Source organism: Homo sapiens, chromosome 10, assembly GCF_000001405.40.
Source record: "Homo sapiens chromosome 10, GRCh38.p14 Primary Assembly".
Lineage (NCBI taxonomy): Eukaryota > Metazoa > Chordata > Mammalia > Primates > Hominidae > Homo > Homo sapiens.
In genome coordinates, this window is record NC_000010.11 from 119,344,230 (window position 1) to 119,359,953 (window position 15,724).

The 15,724-nt window shown below is 49.5% G+C and overlaps 1 protein-coding gene across 1 annotated transcript in view, besides 1 other annotated feature; it reads left to right on the forward strand.

Annotated features, from left to right (window-relative positions):
- The window catches only part of GRK5 (G protein-coupled receptor kinase 5), a 252,175-nt gene that overhangs the window by 136,659 nt on the left and 99,792 nt on the right, over positions 1 to 15,724 (forward strand). The window lies entirely within an intron of this gene.
- Positions 5,178 to 5,679: an enhancer, noted in NCBI's record as "H3K4me1 hESC enhancer chr10:121108919-121109420 (GRCh37/hg19 assembly coordinates)". NCBI's record gives its function as "activates a minimal SCP1, AML or CMV promoter by ChIP-STARR-seq in naive H9 embryonic stem cells {active_cell/tissue: H9 hESC(naive)}" and the evidence as "EXISTENCE:reporter gene assay evidence [ECO:0000049][PMID:30033119]".

The window sequence follows — 15,724 nt, forward strand, 5'->3', positions numbered from 1 at the left end:
GTGGGTTTGTTACATACGTATACATGTGCCATGTTGGTGTGCTGCACCCATTAACTCGTCATTTACATTAGGTATATCTCCTAATGCTATCCCTCCCCGCTTCCCCCACCCCACGACAGGTCCTGGTGTGTGATGTTCCCCATCCTGTGTCCAAGTGATCTCATTGTTCAATTCCCACCTATGAGTGAGAACATGCGGTGTTTGGTTTTCTGTCCTTGCGATAGTTCAGAGTAGGTTTTTCTTTGTGACGCCCGGTCGCAGGATGTCTTTCAGCACCACCTGTCAGAGCTCTCCAAGCCGGCAGCTGTTCCCGCTGCCCACCTGTCCCTTCCCTGCTCTTTTTGGGGATGGTTTCTCGCTCCCCTGCTGTCTGTCCTCTCTTTCCCCTCCCCCTGCAGGGCCTTTTGGAAGGTGGCAGATGGGCATGAATGTCACACTGGCTGTCTCTTTGCCTGTGCTGTGCGTGGGGCCGTCTAGCCCGAGAGATCAGCTCAGGCATATTCCAGGTGCGGCTTATGTTGGTGAGAAGTTCTCATAACCTGAGCTGATGGGGGTCAGAATGTGCGTGTGGGGTGCAGAGGGAGCTTCCCACCCCTGGCAGTCCCCTGCCCTCCTCCCTTGGCCAGCCAGCCACAAGACCCACCCTTCCTTCCTTCCTTCCTTCCTTCCTTCCTTCCTTCCTTCCTTCCTTCCTTCCTTCCTTCCTTTTCCTCCCTCCCTCCCTCCCTCGCTCCTTCCTTTCTTTTTCTTTTTTTCTGAGATGGAATCTCGCTCTGTCTCCCAGGCTGGAGTGCAGTGGCGCCATCTCGGCTCACTGCAACCTCCACCTCCTGGGTTCAAGCAATTCTCCTGCCTCAGCCTCCCGAGTAGCTGAGACTACAGGCGCCCACAACCACGCCTGGCTACTTTTTTGTATTTTTAGTAGAGACGGGATTTCACCGTGTTAGCCAGGATGGTCTCGATCTCCTGACCTCATGATCCGCCCGCCTCGGCCTCCCAAAGTGCTGGGATTACAGGCGTGAGCCACCGCGCCCGGCCACAGACTCACTTTCTTGGGGTTTGGCAGGTCAGCAGGTTTTGTGCTCATTTGGCTTTAGCATGAGAGGAGTGGTTCCCAGCCCCGCAATCCAGCTGCAGTGTTAACTTCCCACTCATCTGTTACCTGGATCCCTGTTTCCCACAGGGGCTTCCTAGCCTCACCGGGTAGAAACTTCAGAATTCGCCCATGGGTTGGATCTGTCCCCTCTTCTCCATCCTTGGTACTTGTCTTCCTGCATGGACTGGTGCAGTAGCCTCTTCTTTGGTCCTCTGTTTCTAGCTGGTATCTTTTTTCTTCCTTCCCATTTATTATGACTTTCTTGCTTGCTGTTCTTAACACTCAGAAGATTCTTGACTTCTCTGAAGTCGTGAAACTTGACACTCCTAGCAGATATCAAGGGTCTGTCCACTGCCTATGGTTCCTTCACCATATACTTCCCCTCCACCCCACCCTGCCAGCAGACTTCAGGCCCTTGGGGAAACCCAGCAGCAGCATGGTGGGTAATAGCGTGTTTTCCAAGTTATGGTGTCAAATCTCTGCTCTTCTATTTAGGAGCTGTTTGACTTTTTTTTTTTTTTTAAACCTCTCTGAACTGCATAAACAGAAAAAAACAGATTTTCTTCTTGCTTCTAGGTCTTTGGTACAGCTGCATCCTCTGTCCTCTCCACCTGGCCAAGCTTTACCTCCAATGTCAGTGGATCCCTGTCCCAAATAACCACCCACCCCCTCCCCCAAGGCCCTAGAGCATTCCACATGTGTCCCCACCAAACATTCCCAAGGAACCCTTGCCATGGGGAGCAGGACTAGGCTTCAGGTGTCTGTTTTCCTAGAAGGTGCGTGTGCCTCCTCCACCTTTGTAAGCCTAACCCCTGTTACAATGCCTGGGCTCTGCGGGAGCCCAGAAGTGTGTACAAAACCAGTGAGCAAGCAAGGGAATCAGTGAGGAAGGGGAAGGAGGAATGAATGATGAGGCAGCATCGCCGCAGCGGGGCCGAGGAGAGGTCCCCCGGAGCATGCCCGTGCAGCCCTAGGGGTAGCTCCTCCCTGGAGCAGGTATAGCTCACCCCCTAGCCTGGCAGCCCTGTCTTCACACCTCCACAGTCTACAGGGTTTCGGCATTTGCTTCAGTTATTTACTGACCATGATCTCCTAGGTCAGATTTATCATTTACTGGGTCAGGAAAGAAAAAGCCCCATGGGGCCAGGTTTATAGAGATTAAATCCACTCATGCCGAAGCTGGCTTCCTGCTTGGGGGATGCTGCAGTGATGCCTCAGGCCTGTTCCTGGAGCCCGTCAGTGCCGGCTGCTCTGGGAGTGGCCTGAGGTCTCTCTGGGACATGTGGGCTGGAGCTGCAAGCTGGGTGCCTTCTGCCAGCTGCACGTGCCACCTGGCTGGCCATCAGAATGCCATCAGAGAGGGCTGGCTGGCTGGCTCCTGGGCCTCCCAGGAAGACCATACAGGGACTGGAGTCCTCCCTGCTCACCGGGTCCCCCAGGCTCCGGCAGAGGCAACGGGAGGAACCAGTTGATCAGAAAGCTGAGCAGATTGAGCTGGCCTTTCTTGTTAGTTTCCTCCAACAGTGGTCCCCTCTGAGGGCAGAGCTGGACAGGCCTCCTCTCGGGCCCGTGTGGAGGGTATTGCATAGAATCTTTCTCCTAGGAACTGACGGAAGTAAGTCTTACGGAGATTAGACTGATTTGCTGTGTTTTGAGTTCATTTTCTCCACCCAGGCATCAAGATATGGTTACGATTTCTGGGAACCATTTCCTTAGACTGCTCAGTCCTGAGGGCTGAGGTGTGGCCGGCACCTGGTTTATCTGAGAGGGCCTGGGCTCATGCACTCTGTTGCCTCTCGGCCTTCCACAAGAGTCTGCAGGGATTCTCTCTTATTGATGGGACACAGATTGTCCTCAGCCAGGCCTTCATGAAACACCACAGTATTTCATGTATGTGTGTGTGTGCAGTGTGTGTGTGTGCACATGCAAGTTTGTATGTGTCCGTGTATGTTTGCAAGTGTGCATGTGTGTGTATACATGCAAGTTTGTATGTGTCCGTATATTTGTGAGTGTGCATGTGTGTGCGTGTGTGTACATGCAAGTTTGTGCCCATGTGTGTTTGCGAGTGTGCATGTGTGTGCGTGTGTATACATGCAAGTTTGTATGTGTCCGTGCATGTTTGCAAGTATGTGCGTGTTTGTGTGTGCATGCACGTGCACGTGTGTGTGTGCACGCCCATCACCAGACTGTAAGTATCCTGAAGGCAAGGTGTTGGCTGTCTTAGGTCCCTTCCACCTCAACAGATATCAAGGGAAATGACTCTGACCTGGAGACAAGGCCGGGACGGCAATGGGGTGTTGTGGAGAGTGTCCCAGGCTGGAACCAGATGGCCTGAATTCTACCACAGTCCCCACTTACCAGCCCTGGGCCTTAAGCCAGGCCTGGTTCCCGGCCCCCGCACATCGTGCATGAGAAGCATGGCCCTTGCTGGACCAGTAGGCGTGTCTGCCTTGCTTCAGATAGTCATCTCTGAATTAAGGAAGAGCTCTCCTGGGACCTGAGTCTTCCCTGGGGGGCAGGGACAGCTTGGTAGGCAGAGAAGGGAGCCTCACCTGCCATGGTTGCAGTGGGGTGAATGCCGAGGCTGCCACCACTTGTCCCTTTCTCCTCCAGTGACCACCCCCCAACCTTTCCTTCTCCACAAAGGAGGGGCAGAGTGACCTCCCATAAGTGGGCTTCTCTCATCCGCCATTGTTGTTCTAGCCCTTCTGTCTCCCTCAAGGACAGGGCCGTGTCTCAGTCGCCAGTGCCCCAGTGTGTAGCACAGTGGCTGCACACCGTAGGTGCTTGCTATGTGTGTTGGCTTAATGAGGAGTCCAGGGGCCTGGCTTTGAGTTTCTTTCTACTGCTGGCCACCCACATGCATCCCTCTTTCTTCAAACTGCTGGGAAGCCCATAGCTCAGTTTGATGTCAAAAGCAAAGCTCTCTTTCATCTGATGTCATCGGGGGAGCTCATTTGATTTTCCCCTCCCTCTTTTGCTGTTTGTTTCCTGTTCTTTGTCTTTTATGGAACAATTGAACATGTGCCTTTATTGGAAGATGCTGTGGATCGTTTTGGGAAGTAAGCAGGCAATGAATAAGTCAGTGCGTTAGAAACGAAGGGGAGAAGAAGCTCCCTGCTCGGCCTAGGAAGCAGGCAGGTCTGAGCCTTGTTCCTCCTCTCTGGAGAATGGACATATGGGCACCTGCCCTGTAGACCTTGAGGAATGAGAACAGAATGGGTTCTGGTGGTCCAGTGTGCTGGGCAGCAATGGGCATGTCCTTCTTCCAGGGCTCTAGAAGGTGGGTCTACTCAGGCAGGACGATGCTATGTGGCTCAGGGAATGGGCTGTGCTACAACCAGCCTGGAAGAGGCCAGGGCTTGCTGGGCGGGCACAGCTGGCAGCTCCCCATTCTGGAGGAACCAGCCAAGAGCATGCTGAGGCGGGCCACCAGTGAGTGCTTTGGGGGGACCAGGTGTCCCAAGTTTGAGCACCAGGAGGCCAGCGCTGTTGCTTTGCTCTTCTCCATCCTTGTCCAAAAAAGGAGTTCGCTCCATTAAGAGGTATAAATAGGAGTGCTGGGGGTGGCCAGACGACAGGGCCGCTCTGCTCATATCCTCGACCACCACAGGAGGGCCGCTCTTGAAGTCCTGGCCAGCAGCAGGAGACATCTTTTTAAGATGTTGGCAAGAAATGAGAGTTAGGCAATCTTCCGTCACCCTCCGCCCTCCTCCCACCCACCGTGGCCATCATAACACAGAATTTCAAAGAATGAGCTCCCAGTGGGGAGAGGTTAAACACTGTGGATTTGTTGTTTCAGGGAAGAACTCGTGGCCAGTGACCTGCTGGAGAAGAGGCAGGAGGAAGGAAGGTGCCGTGGTCAGCATGGGAGGGAGGCAGGGAGGGGCTGAGAGGCAGGATTTGCAGTCGGTCAAGCCTGGGTTTCCTCAGCTTCATTGTCACAAAAAAGCAGAGAGGGAGGACAGCCGCTGAAGGCAGAGGCATGGCTTTGAGAGGTGGCCGTAGTGATGCTGTGTCCAGCTCTGTGTCTGACTCTGCCCAGTGGTTCTGGAAGGAAAGCAGTACCTTGGAAGCAGGCATGGGTTCAGTTCCTTGCCCCTCCACTTACTCATTAGATGTCCTTGGGCAAGCCCTCACGCCTTTGGAGGCAGTTACCCGCCTGTACTGTGGGACAAATAAATAACGCCTCCCCAGGGGGTCTCCATGGGCACCAGCCAAGACCTGTGTGGGAGGGGAGGGCCTGTGCACTCAGGGCCTGGGGCCTTCGGGTGGGGAACATGGCTCACCAGGCCTCGAGATGGTCTTGAGGGGTGGGCATTGGGTCTGCCTCTCTGTAGGCCTGGTGACAGCCCTTTCTGGGGTCATTAGCCTGCAGCCAGCTTTTTTCCCAGCTAAGTCTGAATGGTGAAAGCCGGATCTCCCATCCAGGACTGATTCAGTGGCCACCACTTCCTACGCTTGAGGAAGGAAGAGGAGGAAGGCCTCCTATCATCCTCAGAACCACCACCTGCCTTTGGTGGTTGCTCATACGTGGGCACCTGCCATGGCTATTGCTGCGAGTGTGCCTGTCTTCACTCCCTGTGGAAGGTGTGGGCTGCTGTGCAGCTTGCAAAGCGCTTTTCACACTCCCTGAGCCCAAGTTTTCATTCTTGTTTTACGGACCAGGCTCTGAGAAATTGCCTCGGTCACCCACTTATAGGCAAAGCCTGAGCCACGACAGCTTAACCACAGGTGTGACCAGCTCATGGCCAGAATGTGCCACAGGATGGGGTAAGGATGCAGGCTGGGACGGGGCTGGAGGCCCAGCCCATGACTGCCAGATGGGCCTGTTGCCAGTGCCGGCTGCCATCTCTGATGGGACCCTCCAGCTCCAGCCCCTTTCACATGTGGGTCCTGGAGTCTCTGGTCCCAAGCAGCTACCGCCTACACCTGTCTTATTTTTTCAGTGCGGCATTTAGCCATGGGAGGGAGAGGTGGTGGGAGAAGTAAGTTACCTTCAAGTCTGAGTTGGCATGAACTTGCCAAATAAAACATTTAATGTATTGCCAAGAAACATTTTGCTTGCTTACTTCTTAGCAGACCAAGTGCACAATTTTCCATCAAAACTTTTCCATTGCTCAAAAGTGTCTCTGACACCGAGGCTGGATCCTGCAGCATCTTTGTCACAGCTCACATTTTATTTGGAATCTGGTGTTTTCAGAATGTCACCACCTCTTGCTTTGCGTTTCCCGATGGAAACATTTCACAAGAATCTTTTCAGCTGTCGAAGTGGTGCAACCCTCTTTCAGAAGGTTTTATTTGTCCAGCGCAGAGAAGAACCCCTTTTTTGTGAAGTCCCTGCCACGTTTCACTGGTCAGTTCAGATCTTGCCAGGCTGCCATGGAGTGGATCAAATCCCATTACAGCAAAAGCTGTTTGAGTTTCATGGACACGTTTGTGGAAACAATTGCAGACTCCTCTGTTGACAGTCTACTTCCAGTGTGTAATGTTTGATAGAACATGCACGCAGCACAGCAGAAGAATTTGGACAGCCCTCAGAATGTGCTGGAATGGAATTTGGCTGGGCCTGCTGTCCAGGTCTCTGATGGGGCTGTGGGAGAATGTTTGCCCACCCATTAGGCAGATATTCAATGGGCTCCGTCTGTGTTGCAGATACTGGGCTAATCACAGAGATAAGTGCAACCCAGGCCCCACCCTCAGGGAGCCTAGTCAGTAGGGAATGGAAGAGACATCTGCATTTTGTTCCTAAATATGTCAGAATCATGTTAGGAAGTGGATGGAATGTGTTATGCATTTATTTTAATGTATGTCATTAAAAAAATCCAGCCACTGCAACAGTAATTCCACTATGTTATTACTTAGAAAGACTAAGTTGGAAAAAGACAGGAGGGGCAGTTAATTACAACCTAAGTTAAAGAAAGATATTGAGTAAATACTGTAATGGTGGTAACTCTTTGATATGGTTTGGCTCTGTGTCCCCACCCAAGTCTCGTCTTGAATCGTAGCTCCCATAATTCCCACATGTTGTGGGAGGGACCTGATGGGAGATAGTTGAATCATGGGGGTGGTTTCTCCATTACTGTTCTTGTGGTAGTGAATAAGCCTCACCAGATCTGATGGTTTTATAAGGGAAAACCCCTTTCACTTGGCTCTCATTCTCTCTTGCCGGCCGCCATGTAAGATGTGCCTTTCCTCTTCTGCCATGATTGTGAGGCTTCCCTGGCCATGTGGAACTGTGAGTCCATTAAACCTCTTTTTCCTTATAAATTACCCAGTCTCGGGTATGTCTTTATCAAGCAGAGTGAGGATGGACTAAGACACTATTATAGGTGGTAGGTAAAAACCATGACAGCAGCTCATGAATGACTGGTATCTGGAAAAAATAAGTTCAGGTGTATTTTGTGTTGATTGGTTGCCAGGGGCTTTACCTCTGTTCTCATCCAGTCCTTGGGAACCCTGGATAATGGTAGTGTCAGATGGTAGTCCCAACTGACAGCTGATAAAAGCTCATAAAGTTCAAAGAAGTGAAATGATTCATCCAAGGTCACATGACTAGTAAGTGAGGGAACTTGAATTTGGATCCAGGTCTGTCAACTCCTGATCCTGAACTCTTAGCCACTATGCTATATGGCAATTGATCAAATTAAAAAGTGATCCTTCCCTCTGCAGAGTGTAATCCAGGAAAGCTTCCTAGGGGAGGTGGCCTCAACTGAGTGGTAGGCTTTAGCAAGGGAAGTTTGGGTGGTAAGGTAGAATGTCCCATGGGTCAGATACCCATAATTATTGGCTGGATGGTTTGAATTATAGTGACTTAAACACTTTTTCCTCATATAAATAAAATCTTGAGTTAGGCCATGCGTTGGCTCTTCTGTGTCATCAGGGTCCTAGGCTGCTTTTATCTCTCGATTCCACTAGGTGTCTCATGATCCAAGATGGCAGATAGAGCTCCAGCCACAATATTCTTGTTCCAAAGAAGTAGAAAAAGATAAGAGGGAAAGGGTAAAAGTACATATCTCCCAATGTGTGAGCCCCTTGAAGGAGCTTTTCTGGAAGGGAAAGCTAACAAGTTATTCTTGCATCTCATTGGCTGGCCCTGGTTATTAGGGAGGCTGCCCACTGTGTGCTCAGCATATGTGAATGGAGGACAAACATCCTGCCCTCAAGGTGCTTACAGCAGATCGAACTGCTTCTCGTTGAAGCTGTAAAGGAGACTGCAGTTGAGTGGGTAAGAAAAAGCCTCCTCTAACCAGACTTGCCTCTGGAGTGGCCCCAATAAGCTCCTGGGTCTGTTTTGGTTTCTTCAACACATTTATTTGGTGTTTAATTGGAGGGGAAAGTTGCAGCGATTATGTCACCTGCCCAAGGCAGCCCCTGCCCACCATCTCATCAACCCTTCTGAAAAGACAAGAGTCACTCTTGGTACAAACCAGTCTCATTCCACCACCTGCCATCCTCTGGTGCAATTAGAGCAAGAGCCCACTTTCCACCCGAATCCTGGATTGGTGTCATTTAAGCTCAGCAGAGCCCCGTATGGTGGTGACCAGGCCCAAGTTCTGTGCAGCTTACGGGCAAGAGTAGGACCTGGGCACTGTGGGCCACCCGGGCTCCGTCCTCCCTCTCTCTCCCCTGAGGACCTGGGTTTGCTTTTCACTTCTTATCTCAGGAGGGTATGCTGGCCAGTTGCCAGAAATATCAAAAGTTTGGAGAGTTCTTTAAAATCAGTGGAGCCTTCTGGGTTGCCAATGTTGTTCCGGGGACTGGTTCAGAGATCAAATCTTGTTCATGTGAAGAAGCCCTCTCTGCTGGGATTTGGGTTCATGTGGGTATGAAATGCCCTTTTCACTTTTTGGGAATTGGGATGCTAGACCATGGAAAGAATGTTCGGGCTGAAATGGGAGCCAGGGGTGGGATACAGCCCCTGTTTCTCCATTTGCTTGCTCAGGAGACTTACTCCACCTGGTTGGAGGCAGAGATGGGGAGAGATGGCTTCTGATGTCCTCAGCCAGGCATCTGCCTTTGTTCTGTAATTACCTCCAAGTAAATAGTCTTGGAAGGAAGTTTAGAGAGATGTTTCATAGGGTGTTAGAAATCAAACTGCTATTAATATACTAATTACAGTAGGCTCAATACTTACCATTGAAACAGGTCCTGGAGAGCCTCTCCTTGGCAACACTGTTAGACATTCTGTTCTTGAAATAGAAAGTCCATATTCTTTGGTGAAAGCTCTAAATCCAGGCTTTCCCTATGAACAGCCAGCCCTTTTCTTTGGATTCAGTAGGTTCAGCTGCGGCCTCTGGCAGCAAAGGCTGGGTGGAGTGAGGTGGGGAGAATTTGACGCACTCAGAAAGCAGTCAGCTCAGCAGAGGTGTCCAAAGGTGCTGGGGCCCCAGAGGTCCCAGACCAGCTACCTGACAATGTCATTGTACATCTAAGCATTATTTTTAGCAATGACATCACTGCTACTGGTTTTATTTTTAGATTGATGCTGCAGGTGCTGTTTGGAAATGTCTTTTTTCCCCACATCACTTTTGTCCTGGAAGTACCCAGTATATGAGGGAAACAAAATGGCAGCCACCCCACCAAGGGCAATCCATTTTTTCTTTCTTTTTTTTTTTTTTTTTTTTGAGGTGACTTATACTTTATTAGTGTGACTTCATTCATTTTTCTGTAGAAATATTACTATGTTGATTTTGGGGATGTTTGATATATATGACATATATAGATTATATTTCTAAAATCTGATAAGTTCTGAATTCTGAAATACATGTGATCTCAAGGGTTTCTTTATTTAAAAAAATGTCTATAAGGTAGATAACATGATGTTTTGCTATATATGTACTTAGTGAAATGATTGCTACAGTCAAGCAAATTAATACATGCATCACCTCTCATAGTTACCTTTGTCCGTGGAGTGGGGCAGAAAGGTTAAGAGTACCTAAAATCTACTCTCTTAGCAGATTTCCAGTGTACAGTACGATATTATTAACTATAGTTCTCATATTCTCATAGTGTACATTAGATCTCTAGACTTATCCTACATAACTGCAACTTTGTGCCCTACATCTCCTTTTTTTTTTTTTTTTTTTTTTTTGAGACAAGGTCTTGCTCTGTCACTCAGGCTGGAGTGCAGTGGCGCAATCATGCCTCACTGCAGCCTCGACCTTCCAGGCTCAATTGACCCTCCCACCTCAGCCTCCTGAGTATCTGGGGCTACAGGTGTACACCGCCATGCCTGGCTAATTTTTGTATTTTTTGTAGAGACGGGGTTTTGCCATGTTGCCCAGATTGGTCTCAAACTCCTAGGCTCAAGTGATCCTCCCACCTTGGCCTTCCAAAGTGCTGGGATTGCAGCTGCACCCAGCCCATCTCCTCCATTTTTAAGGCTGAATAATATTCCATTGTACAGTTGATCCTTGAAGAGCACAGGTTTGAACTGTGTAGGTCCACCTTTATGAGGATTTTTTTCAACCAAACATGGATTGAAAATACAGTATTCAAGGGATACAAAACCCTGAGTATTGGAAAGGCTGACTTTTCATATACTCAGGTTCTGTAGGGCCAACTATGGGAGTTGAGAATGCATGGATTTTGGTATCCATCGGGGACTGGCTCTAGGACTCCCCGAGAATGCCAAAATCCATGAATGCTCGAGTCCCTGATATAAAATAGTATATTTGCATATAACCAATGTAATTCTCCTGTATACTTTAAATCATCTCTAGATTACTTCTAATACCTAGTTCAATGTAAATGCTATATAAATAGTTGTTATACTGTATTGTTTAGGGAATAATGACAAAAAAATACAAAGTCTGTACATGTTCAGTGCAGACACAACAATCCATTTCCTGTCAAATATTTTTGATCCATAGTTAGTTGAATCCACAGATGCAGAATCCATGGATAAGGAATGCCAACAGTATATCACAATTTCATTATTTTTTCATCTGTTGATGAACACTTAGATTGTTTCTATATATTGGCTAGTATAAATAATACTGCTAGTATAAATAATGCTGCAATGAACATATGAGTACAGGTATCTCTACGAGGTGCTTATTTTATTTCCTTTGGGTATATATCCAAAGAGGGCTTGCTGGGTCATGTGGTAGTTCTGTTTTCCAATGTGGAAAATATTAAAAGGTATAACCCACATAAATAAAAGCTCCTGGCTAGGTGTGGTGGCTCACGCCTGTTATCCCAGCACTTTGGGAGGCCAAGGTGGGTGGATCATGAGGTCAGGAGTTTGAGACCAGCCTGACCAACATGGCGAAACCCCTGTCTCTATTAAAAATACAAAAATTAGCCAAGTGTGGTGGCATGCACCTGTAATCTCAGCTACTCAGGAGGCTGAGGCAGGAGAATTGCTTGAATCTGGGAGGCAGAGGTTGCAATGAGCTGAGATTGAGCCACTGCACTCCAACAGCTTGGGTGACAGAGCAAGACTCTATCACAACAACAACAACAACAACAACAAAACTCCTTTGGGATCTATAATAATTTGTAGAGGTATCAAGGTGTCCTGAGTCCATAAAGTTTCAGAGTCACTGCAGTAGAGGGAAGAAAAGGACAACAGAAACAGTGAAACTTAAATAGCATTTCCTGAGCCCTGAGAAACAACCGATGCTATATAGTTATTTTTTCACTCTAAGATAACTCAAGATAGAAACTTTTAAATCTAGAGAGCTGATAAAGTAAGATAATAATACATTCTGCAGGCCTAAGAACCCTGATCTGGAGGATCAAGACTGGGTCATGCATACATTGCATTAGACAGCGACACCTAATGAACAACAATGGTATTACAACCCAGCTCTATGAAACCAGGGACTAGCAAGAGTAAATGCTGTATTCAGACTAAAGGACATAGATAAGAGCACATTCTGTCAGGCAGAGTATTTCATTATTTGATATTCTTAGACAAAACAAATTCTCAGGGTGTGGAGGGCAATTTACAAAATATATAATGACAGTTCATTTGCTTAGACCTTCTTCCTTAGTTAAGTTGAATGTTAGTGGTCCATCAGGGAATCTGGAGCATAGAGTAGAATCACAATCACCTTGGACTTATAAGAAATAATTCAAAGACTTTATAGAATCAGTCTCTAGTCCCAGAATTTTATGTTTTTACCATGTTCGTGGCTCATGCTTTCTTGATTTCTGGCATCCTGTCTGATTTCTGAGTTTGGGCTAGCTAGAGTCTTGTTTGTCTATCTTCTTGATGCCCAATAAGATCAGCCCCTTTACTGTGCCTGGATTTCTATATCCAGCATTACCTAAATCCAACTTTACACAGGCTTTGGGCTCTTCCAGTTCCTCTTCTGCCCTTTAACCCCATGTGTGCCCCAGAACCATCCACAAGGAGATGCCAAGAATAGAGAAGATGAACAACAACAACAACAAAACAGAACTGCAGCCCTTCTGTATGCTTCAGTCTCTAGCAGGCTCAGCCCAAGCCACTACCGATCCCTTTTCTCACAAGTTTTCAATGCAATCTACAGGAGGCTTTGTATTCTCATATAGGAACCCTTCTCAAAACTGATAAAACGATAAAGGCTTTGCTTTACTAAAATTTGCTGTGCCAGCCCTCTCTTTAGCAACTGACCAGTGCTGAGCTATCTCATGCTACCTCTATGGCATTGTCAAAGAAGGCAGGGAATGTCTTTGCCCACCAAAGAACAGCATGTGTGTGAGGCCCATGCTAGGGAAGAAAAAATTCTTAACAAAGTGAGGTGTGAAGGTGGCTGGGGGCCAACTGGACCCTGGAGCCCAAGCGAAGTGAAGTGATGCCAGATGCCTTGCCCTATCAAAGTAATGAAAGTGATCTGGAAATGGTGTTTTTTCTCATTTTAATGACAGAGCAGGGCTGGGTAAGGAATAACTGTAAGTGCAGATGAAGCTTGTTTATGCTCCAAAGATAAAGTCACAAATGGGGGGTAGGGTGGGCTGTGGCCTTCCCTTGCTCTAGGCAAATTCCCTCAGCACTAGAGAAGGTGCCTTCCAAAGGGCCTGTGTTGTGTCTGCAGTTCTGTTCCCAGGGAAGTGGAAGCTGAGGCACCTGTGGTAAAGCCCCTCATGGGAGCGGGGGTCAGGGAGATGTTTGGAAAGGCTGTGGCTGATAATGAGACGCGGGTAACCCTGGTGGATATCGTTCCATCCTGGTGCGTGCCTTCCTGGTTGCCTCCTGCTGCCTGCTCCTGGGGAGTGGAGTGGGGGAAGCATTAGTCTGGATTGTTGTTGGCTTGGTTGCCTTCCAGAGGCCTGCATCCAGGTGCCAGGGAAATTCTGACTGAAGTCCATTCAACAATAGCAATAGCGGCTCACACTCAGGCCTGCTGGCCCCACCATTGACAGCTTTGCATGAGCTTCTTTCCATGCAAGAGGGCTGTCCCCAGGTTCACTCCCCACTTCTTGTTCTGCTGCCTGCATTCTTGGCCACGTAGTTAAGTCTCCCTCCCTTTGTGCCCCCTTTATGTCTCTGGTCTTCTCCAACATTAGCCATGCCATTGGCAGGGTGGGGGTGGGTGGTGGGGCACGCTTCCTGACTCGGATGCCTTGACCCCACAGGGACTGAGTTTTGGACAAGGTGCAGCGGCAGCCTCCCAAGCCAGGGGTGGGCAGCGTCTGCTGAGCAGATCCTGGTCCTCTCGGGGTGGCTGCATCAATCACACCCAAAGGGGAGAGGCCTCAGTATGGAAAGTATGTGAGCCTTGGATGGAATCACGGATGGCCCGAAATGGCTTGGCCCCTTGTTTCTAAGGCCCCGGCTGGTTTCCCCATTGTGCAGTGGGGAGGGAGAAAGGGGCCAGCTTGCCTGAGTTCCTGGAGCACGAGTGAGAGTCCCTGAGCCACAGGTAGGTGAGGGCAAGGGTGGCAGTGTTTTGGGGTGTCCACGCAGCATGCATGGCTGGTCCTAGCTCGGATGTTGTCTGACAGTCACCCATGAGGAACAGGAGTCCCTCCCATTACTCAGCCAAGGGCACAGAGTGATTATGCCCGGGGTGTAGCAAATGCTCTGCAAATAGTAGCTGCTCTGACCATGTGATTTGACTGGCATTGCCCAGATGCTGAGTGGTGGTGCCAGGATTGGACCTGTATCCATCTCATGCCTCCACCCAGGCCCTCCACCCGGCAGCCTGGCCGCCTTCTCCTGGTCCTGGTCCCCTTGCCCCCAGGAATTGAGGCGTGCATGGTGCATTTCCATCTCCCAAATCATGGTCCTGTCTGTGCCCTCATCTGCTCCTCTTCCACAGGCCTCTCAGGGAGGCAGGCAGGGCAGAGTCAGCAGCCCCATTTTAGAGACCAGGAAACTAAGGCCCAGGGATTCCTCAGAGGTCACCAAGCTTGTAAATGGCAGCACTGAGCCTCAAGCCTTGCTCTTTGGATCATCCACTTTGTATTAGTCTGCTCAGGCTGCTATGACAAAATACCACAGAGTGGGCGGCTTAGACAACAGGTATTTCTTTCCTCACAGTTCTGGGGGCCACAGTTCAAGATCCAGGTGCCTCAGGGCTGGCTTCTGCCCTTGCTGGTTTGTAGATCCACTGTCTTCCTGTTATGTCCTTGCCCGGCCTTTCCTCTGAGCTCTCTGGTGTCTCTTCCTCTCCTCCTAAGGACACCAGCCCTATCAGTTAGGGCCCCACCCTGAAGAATTCATTTAACCTTAATTACCTCCCCAAAGCCCCACCCCCAAATATAGTCACATTGGGGGTTAGGGCTTCAACATATGAATTTGGGGACAACACAGTTCAGTTCATAACACACCCTGAGCCCCCTCCACTGTTTGGAGTCCCCTAGGTCACACCAGGGGGGTTGCTGGTGCTGTGCATCAGAGGAGCCATTTGGAGAGACTGTGCCAGAGGCCAGGGGTGGGGCTGGGGCAATCCAGGAAGGCTTCCTGGAGGAGATGTGTGTACACACGAGAGGGCTTGGGGGCAGTACATGCCCTTACGGGGGCCTATTTCAGGGAACCCCACATGTAATCCACACCAGTAACTCAGATGAGCTGTAGCTGTTTTCCAGGAGCCACTTTCTCTCCATGGTTATGGCAAGAGGGGAGCCTCCGGGTCCTGCGTGGCCCAGCAAGGCAGCTGTGGGTTGATGCAGCAAAGCAGGTTGTGTTTCCAGGTCATTCGTGTGGAAGGGAATGGGATCCCAGGTGGGCAGGGCCAGGCAACAAAGGCCAGAAATCGAGCTGAGCACCCACGAAGCCTTCCTCAGAGCAAAGACCTGCAGAGGGGACCACTGCATGTGGCAGCTGCCCCAGATGCTGTGGCCCTGGCTGCTGTGGGAGGGTAATTTTTGTTAAGATGAACTAAGTTGGGACTGCATCTCACACAGTGGCCTTTGTATAAATTCGCTTGCCTTCCTCATCCGGTATCTGTCCCCTCTTTGGTTCACACCCTGGATGCAGGTGTTCGGGGGAATGTGCATTGCCACACTTAGAACATTCAAGTTTCTGCCATCCCTGTGTTTCTGGAGTGACAGTGATGTTCCCGGGGGGGAGGTGTGGGTTCATGCAGCAAGTCCCATGCAGAGTCCGGGGCAAATTCAGGTCCTGAGTGAGGTCGTAGTGGGTACCTGGCTAGCAGGCTGAAGGGAGGTTGAGGAGATTGAGGAGGCTGA